Source organism: Homo sapiens, chromosome 20, assembly GCF_000001405.40.
Source record: "Homo sapiens chromosome 20, GRCh38.p14 Primary Assembly".
Classification (NCBI taxonomy): Eukaryota; Metazoa; Chordata; class Mammalia; order Primates; family Hominidae; genus Homo; species Homo sapiens.
The window spans coordinates 33,778,361-33,786,131 of record NC_000020.11 but is presented as its reverse complement, the minus strand read 5'-3'; the positions used below and the strand labels follow the sequence as shown (position 1 = coordinate 33,786,131).

The 7,771-nt window shown below is 49.9% G+C and overlaps 1 protein-coding gene across 4 annotated transcripts in view, besides 4 other annotated features; it reads right to left on the bottom strand.

The window, feature by feature from the left end:
• ZNF341 (zinc finger protein 341) overlaps positions 1-7,771 on the bottom strand; it is a 60,274-nt gene that overhangs the window by 6,138 nt on the left and 46,365 nt on the right. For 3 of the 4 annotated variants that reach the window (NM_001282933.2, NM_032819.5, NM_001282935.2), the window contains 2 exons: positions 4,745-4,841; positions 2,268-2,400 (listed from right to left, as the gene is read on the bottom strand). In NM_001282933.2, coding sequence (NP_001269862.1) covers positions 2,268-2,400; positions 4,745-4,841 — 230 coding nt within the window. The remainder of the gene's footprint in view (positions 1-2,267; positions 2,401-4,744; positions 4,842-7,771) is intronic. The other variant, NR_104259.2, reaches the window with a different exon arrangement.
• Positions 406-455: a silencer, noted in NCBI's record as "silent region_12823". NCBI's record gives its function as "represses an Ori minimal core promoter by ATAC-STARR-seq in GM12878 lymphoblastoid cells {active_cell/tissue: GM12878}" and the evidence as "EXISTENCE:reporter gene assay evidence [ECO:0000049][PMID:35858748]".
• Positions 6,775-7,069: an enhancer, noted in NCBI's record as "tiled region #4652; K562 Activating DNase matched - State 5:Enh, and HepG2 Activating non-DNase unmatched - State 7:EnhWF". NCBI's record gives its function as "activates a minimal TATA promoter and a strong SV40 promoter by Sharpr-MPRA in K562 cells, with weak activation in HepG2 cells {active_cell/tissue: HepG2 | K562}" and the evidence as "EXISTENCE:reporter gene assay evidence [ECO:0000049][PMID:27701403]".
• Positions 7,105-7,394: an enhancer, noted in NCBI's record as "active region_17746". NCBI's record gives its function as "activates an Ori minimal core promoter by ATAC-STARR-seq in GM12878 lymphoblastoid cells {active_cell/tissue: GM12878}" and the evidence as "EXISTENCE:reporter gene assay evidence [ECO:0000049][PMID:35858748]".
• Positions 7,485-7,534: a silencer, noted in NCBI's record as "silent region_12822". NCBI's record gives its function as "represses an Ori minimal core promoter by ATAC-STARR-seq in GM12878 lymphoblastoid cells {active_cell/tissue: GM12878}" and the evidence as "EXISTENCE:reporter gene assay evidence [ECO:0000049][PMID:35858748]".

Here is a 7,771-nt window from a genome sequence, read left to right as displayed (position 1 = left end):
CTTGGAAGGCTAAGGCAGGAGAATTGCTTGAACTCAGGCGGCAGAGGTTGCAGTGAACCAAGATCGTGCCATTCAGTCTCAAAAAAAAAAAAAAAAAAAAAAAAGGTTCATACATAGAGAACTGGCTAAATACAAGATGAAAAATTCATTGAGGAAGACTACTCAGATGTGAAAAAGAAGGTGCTGTTGGTAACAACTTCTGGGGGGGGCCCGGGGGAGGGGGACCCACAGAATTTAGCCTCCAGGGGAACTGTAAGCACACATTCCTTGGGGAACATCGCCAAGGTATATGATAAGGAAAAAAAGGCACATAAGTTATAGTATGTGCTCATTTTTGCAAACGTAAGCAAGCGTTTTATATATGTGTAAAATAAAACTAGAAGAATGCAGACTAGACCGCTAACAGTTACCTTTGGGGAAGAGAATTAGGAGTATTTTGCAAACTGCAAACCACAAGTTACACCCTGTTGGTGGTTATTTTAAGAATTAAAAATAGGCTGGGTGTGGTGGCTTGCATCTGTAATCCCAGCACTTTGAGAGGCCAAGGTGGGTGGGTAACCTGAGGCCAGGAGTTTGAGACCATCTTGGCCAACATGGTGAAACCCCGTCTCTACTGAAAATACAGAAATTAGCCAGGCATGTGGTGGGCGCCTGTAATCCCAGCTACTCGGGAGGCTGAGGCACGAGAATGGCTTGAACCTGGGAGGCGGAGGTTGTAGTGAGATCATACCATTGCACTCCAGCCTGGGTGACAGAGTGAGACCCTGTCTCAAAATAAAAATAAAAAATAAAAAAACTAAAATTGAAAAGGACAAAATAGAAAACACTGTTTTGTAAAACTTTTGTTGCAATACATCCTATGTGTGCTTCCTGGGTTGCAATATGAAATGTATTTTTTACCATAGGTCGTAGGAAAGAAAAAAAAGGAAAAACATTGGATTGTCCATCTGAAGTGAGAGGGAGTTTATTTTTTTATATATGCTTTTGTCCCGTCAAGGATTTTCCCTCAAGTTTTCTCAATCTTTAGATCCTTTTCAATTAAAAAGCAATTAAAAAATTTAACTAATAAAAAAATCTAAAGATTAATAGAAAAGAAAATGTCAGTGTGTTTCAACTGGGGAACCAAGGAGATGGCGTTTTGTTCAGGTTTGAGTGGGAACTTACAGTGAGAGCAGTGTCCCCACCACAGGGGGCAGAGTCAAGAGTCCCTCACACAGGCTGGGTGCAGTGCCTCACGCCTGTCATCCCAGCACTTTGGGAGGCCGAGGCAGGAGGATCACCTGAGGTCAGGAGTTCGAAACCAGCCTGGCCAACATGGCAAAACCCTGTTTCTACTAAAAATACAAAAAACTAGCTGGACATGGTGGTGGGAGCCTGTAATCCCAGCTACTCAGGAGGCTGAGGCAGGAGAATCACTTGAACCCGGGAGGCAGAGGTTGCAGTGAGCCAAGATCTGCCACCGCACTCCAGCCTGGGCAACAAGAGCGAGACTTTGTCTCAAAGAAAAAAAAAAAAAGAATAAAAAGTCCCTTCCACACAACCTCCAGGGGCTCTTCTCTGCTTTAGCGGTGGTGGGAATCCCTTGTTCATGAATTAAGGCAGGTGGATCAGGGGCCAGGAAGGAGAGAGGAAGGAGGAGCAAGGGGAGAGGCAGGAGGGCTGGAGGGAGACAGACAGCGACAGAGAGGAGGGGGAGGGGGCTGGAGGGAGAGGGGAGAGGACAGGGGAGGGAGGCTGGAGGGGGCTAGAAGGAGATGGGGAGAGGGAGGGGAAGGGAGGCTAGAGGGAGATGGGAAGGAGGAGGGAGAAGGGGGCTGCAGGGAGATGGGGAAGAAGAGGGAGATGGGGAGGGTGAGGGAGATGGGGGGGAGAGAGATGGAGAGAGGGAGGGAGATGGGGGAGGGGGAAGGAGATGGGGAGAGGGAGGGAGGTGAGGAGGCGGAGGGAGGGGGGAGGGAGAGGAGTAGGGAGAGGGAGAGGGGAAAGGAAATGGGGAAGAGGAGGGAGAAGGGTGCTGGAGGGAGATGGGGAGGAGGAAGGAGATGGGGAGGAGGAGGGAGATGGGGAGGAGGAGGGAGACGGGGGCTGAGAGAGATGAGGGGAGGGACTGAGTGAGATGGGGAGGGAGATGGAGAAGTGGAGGGAAAAGGGGCTGAGGGAGACAGGGAGAAGAGCCAGATGGGGATGGGAAGAGAGAGAAAGGCATGAGGAGAGGGGGAGGGGGAGGGGAGGGGCTGGGCTGGAGTTCTCAGGGGCAGGGTACCTACCCGAGTGGATGTGAGCATGCAGTTTGAGATAATGCTCCCGCCGGAAGAACTTCTTGCACACTTGGCACTTGAACCTGCCCCCGCTGCCGTGGGTGGGCAGATGACGCCGCAGGTAGCGTTCACAAGGAAACACCTGGGAGAGAAGAGGGGCCTTCAGGTCTGACTCACCGGGCCCCCCTCCCCTGGCCATCTTCTGAACTCAAAGGTTCCTCGTTTCCAGCCCCTATAGAGACACCTTCCTTTCTGGCTATCAGGGGCCAGGACCCAGAATGTCAGACTCAGCCCTTAGAACTTCATGGCTCCCCACAAGCCCGGACAAAACATGTCTGCCCTGAGCTTTTGCCCGGATGTTCTTCCCACCCAGAGGGCCTTTCTCTCTTTACTGACAAACTCTTACACATCCTTCAAGACCCAACTCGGGCGTCACTGCTCCTGTCAAGCCTTCCCTAGCTCCCTGGTGCTATGCCTGGCAAAGCCAATTCTGCCTTTGAATGTCCACCCACACTTTTAAGTCAGCATTTAACCCACTGAATGACAGCCCTTTGCTTACACAGGAGCTCCAAGTAGGCAGAGAGGGGCTTTCACTCCCCAGCACAGAGCCTGGGTCAAATGACTGACAAGTAAAAGAATTAATGGAAAATGAGCAAATTACTAAAGAAATCTATGGAAAGGTAATTTTTTACTTTTATTTATTTTATTTTATTTTATTTGAGATGCAGTTTCGCTCATATTGTCCAGGCTGGAGTGCAATGGTGCAATCTTGGCTCACTGCAACCTCTGCCTCCCAGGTTCAAGCGATTCTCCTGCCTCAGCCTCCTGAGTAGCTGGGATTACAGGTGCCTGCCACCACTCCCGGCTAATTTTTATTTTTAGTAGAGACAGGGTTTCTCCATGTTGGTTAGGCTGGTCTCTAACTCCTGACCTCAGGTGATCCACCCGCCTCAGCCTCCCGAAGTGCTGGGATTACAGGCGCCCACCACCACACCCAGCTAATTTTTGTATGAAAGGTAATTTTTTTAAAGCCAGAAAACACAGAAGTGAAAATCTCTTTCCAGTCCAGGCAAAAGAAGGGCATGTATTCACACATTCATTCATTTTGGTAGAGCGTTGGTCACGGGCACAGACCCAGCTGCCCCACTGCTTATTAGCCCCATCGTTTCCCAGCTAGGTGACCTTTCTGCCTTGGTTTCCCCACCTATAAAGGGGGATAGTAACAGTACACCTATCCTCTAGTCAATTCCAGTGAAATGCTCAGAACAGCATCTGGCATGTGGTTCTTGCTCAATTCATGGTATCTTTTACTCGGACCACAACTTCTAAAGCTTAAAATTAGGTTAGATAATAAGAAACATCCAGAATGAGGCCAAAATGAAACCAGGGCTGTCCTGGAAAATCTGCCACATATGGTTGTAAGAAAATGAGTAGAGTGAAGAAGCAAGTTAAACACACCAGGGAGACGTAATCAGCAAAATCCAGACTGCGGGGAACACCGCTGAACCAAATGGCCCAGTTTCTTCAACAAATAAATTCAGAGGAAAGAAAAAAGGGAGCAGTGGTCAGGGGTGGTGGTGGGGACCTGTAGATTAATAGAGGCTTTTGTTATGTCAATCAATTGCAATCTATGGACCTGATTCAAATGAACTTTACAAAATGATGAAGCTTTGAGACAACTAGAAATTGGAACACTTCCTGGATGTTTGATGTTATCAGGAACAGGCTTTAGTGAGGCTTTCAGAGTCACTGAAAAGAAGAATCCAGGCTGGGCATGATGGCTCATACCTGTAATCCCAACACTCTGGGAGTCTGAGGTGGGAGGATCACTTGAGGCCAAGAGTTTGAGACCAGCCTGGGTAACATAGTGAGCCCTATCTCTACAAAAAATTTAGGCTGGGTGCAGTGGCTCATGCGTGTAATCCCAGCACTTTGGGAGGTCAAGGTGGACAGGTCCCTTAAGCCCAGGAGTTTGAGACCAGCCTGGGCAACACGGTGAAACTCCATCTCTATAAAAAATACAAAAATTAGCTGGGCATGGTGGCACATGCCTATAGTCCCAGCTACTCAGGGGGCTGAGCCCAGGAGGTTGAGGCTGCGGTGAGCCATGATCAAACCACTGCACACTAGCCTGGTGACAGAGTAAGACCCTGTCTCAAAAAAAAAAAAAAATTAAAAAGAAGAGCCAATTGTAATAAGGATAATCTTACATCAGGAAGCTGGGAGGCTTCTGCTCAGACACTAGGCCTGGGACCAGGACAGCCCACCCAGCCTGGCTCCAGCAGCAGCCCCGACATGGCCACATCTGGAATGTGATGGATGAGATGGCCAGGCAGAGACACTGTGTCATCTGTGGAGCAGCCCCTGAGCCCTGCCTGCGTGTCCTATGGTGAGAGAGGAGAAGGAAAGGGTGAGGTGTGCACCCCACCCCACCTCCTTGCCCTTATTATAGCCTAGGCCCCAGAAAAGAGGACAGTGGCACCCACCTTCTGGCAGTGTGGGCAGGGGAAGTTGTGAGTGGCGGTCTGCAGGTGGTGCTCCAGGGCCTCAGGGGTGGAGTATTTGTTGACACATTTGACACACCTAAGTGGAAGGAGCAGGAGAGATGAGGGAGGAAACACAGCAGGCATAGGAAGCAGCGCCCCGGCCACCCCAGGGCCAACATTAGGAGGCAACATCCTACAGTTAATTCATTCCAAATCCATCCACTCTTCTCAATTGCCACTGCCTGTCCTCATCTGAGCGCCATCATCTCTTGTTCGGACTTGTGCAGTAGCCTCCTCGCTGGCCACCCTGCCCCTGCCTTGCCTCCTGTAGTCCATTCTCCACAGGGTGGCCAGGGGCACCTTTAAAAATGAAACAGGCTGAGCACAGTGGCTGGCTCACACCTGCAATCCCAATACTTTAGGAGGCCAAGGTGAGAGGATTGTTTGAGACCAGGAGTTCAAAATCAGCCTGGGCAACATGGCAAGACCCCTATCCCTATGAAAAATTTAAAAATTAGCTAGATGTGGTGGCTTCCCAGCTACTCAAGAGGCTAAGGCAGGAGGATCGCTTAAGCCCAGGGGTTTTGAAGTTACAGTGAGCCATGATTATGCCACTACACTCCAGCCTGGGTAACAGAAAGAGAACCTGTCTCTATTTAAATAAGAAAAAAAAAAAAAGGCCTGGTGTGGTGACTCACACCTGTAATCCCAGTACTTCGGGAGGCCGAGGCAGGCGCATCACCTGAGGTCAGGAGTTTGAGACCAGCCTGGCCAACATGATGAAACCCCGTCTCTCTACTAAAAATACAAAAATTAGCCAGGCGTGGTAGCGTGGACCTGTAATCCCAGCTACTCAGGAGACTGAGTCAGGAGAATCACTTAAACCCAGGAGGCGGAGGTTGCAGTGAGCCGAGATCGCACCACTGCACTCCAGCCTGGGCGGCAGAGTGAGACTCTGTCTCAAAAAAGAAACAAAAAAAAAAAGTAAGTCAGACCATGCCACACCATTGCTTAACCCACCTCCCACCTTGGCCTACAAGGCCCTGTGGTCTGACCCACTCCCACCTCTCAGACCTCATCCTTCTCCTTTCTCCACCTCACTCACTCTGCTCTGGCCACCCTGGCCTCCTTGACCTACCTTGAACACACCAGGCTCATTCCCACCTCAGGGCCTTGGCACTGGCTGTTCCTGTTCCCCGGAACACTCTTCCCCAAGTCTTCCCCAGGCAGTGCCTTCTCATCCTTCATATCTCAGCTCAAATGTCACCTCCCCAAAGAGGCCCTCCTGGCCACCCTGTCTCAAGTTGCCCCCCACGATGCACTCCCAGTCACTCCCTATTACATCACTCAGTTTTATTTTCTTCTTACCACTTCTTACCTGGAATTATTTATTATTTGCTTACTTGGTTATTGTCTGTCTCCTCCACTAGCAAGTGGTCCCTGTTCCAGATACCACATCTTGCCCATTCACAAGCTGCTCCCAGCACCAGTGAGAACTTGTTACATTAAAGAGTCAGACAGATGGGGATCCAAGCCCAGCGCCTTCCCATTTCTGACCTGCTGGGCCTCCTCATTCAAAATATGGGGTGTGAGTCCCAAACAGACCTGCCTGTCACTCATTCTTACAATTGTCACATGGCTGGATGCAGTGCCTCATGCCTGTAATCCCAGCACTTTGGGAGGCTGAGGTGGGCAGATCACCTGAGGTCAGGAGTTCAAGACCAGCCTGGCCAATACGGTGAAACCCTGTCTCTACTAAAAATACAAACATTAGCCAGGCGTGGTGGCACCTGCCTGTAACCCCAGCTACTCAGGAGGCTGAGGCAGGAGAATCACTTGAACCTGGGAGATGCAGGATGCAGTGAGCTGAGATCACGCTACTGCACTCCAGCCTGGGCGACACAGTGAGACTCCATCTCAAAAAAAAAAAAAAAAAAAAGGGAGATTGTCACAGAGTCTGACATAGTTTGTATCTGTGTCCCCACCTAAATCTCATGTTGAACTATAATCCCCAGTGCTGGAGGTGAGTTCTGGTGGGAGGTGATTGGATCATGGGGGTGGATTTCTCATGAATGGTTTAGGACCATCCCCTTGGTGCAGTCCTCAGGATAGTGAGTGAGTTCTCATGAGATCTAGCTGTTTAAAAGTGTATGGCGCCTCCCTCTCTCTCTATCTGGCTCCTGCTCTGGCCATGTGACATGTCTACTTCCCCTTCTCCTCCTGCCATGAGTAAAAGCCTCCTGAGGCCTCCCCAGTGGCAGATCTGCTAGCTCAGACACTATGCTTCCTGTACAGCCTGCTGAACCGTGAGTCAAATAAGCCTCTTTTCTTATAAATTACCCAGTCTCAGGTATTTCTTTATAGCAGTGCAAGAATGGCCTAATACAGAGTCAAAAAACACAACTGTGCCAAACAGCTCATAAACATGTCCTCACAACAGCAGTCTCAGGCCACCAACCACTCTGAAGGGAGAAAAGACACCACCATCTCCCCATCATGAAAACATGTGCCAGCTAAGGAAGAAAGGGTATTATCAGACAAAAAAAGAAAAGAAAAAAGAAAACATTTGCCAGCATATTGACCTATTTACAATGAGTTATCAGTGAGGAATGTCACAGGTAGGTGAACAATTCAAAGCAAAAACCAAAAGGCAGGCTGTGTAGAGTACTGCCTGTGGGAAACCCCAGGCAGGCTGCACCTGCGAAGGGCCCAGGGGAGCCCCATAGACCGCACTCTGAAACTACACACTAGCCAGGCGCACTCTGAAACCACACACTAGCCAGGCGCGGTGGCTCATGCCTGTAATCCCAGCACTTTGGGAGGCCGAGGTGGGCGGATCACTTAAGGTCAGGAGTTCGAGACCAACCTGGCCAACATGGAGAAATGCCGTCTTTACTAAAAATACAAAAATTAGCCAGGTGTGGTGGCTCACACCTGTAATCCCAGCTACTCAGGAGGCTGAGGCACAAGAATCACTTGAACCCAGGAGGGCAGAGGTTGCGGTGAGCCAAGATCATGCCACTGCAC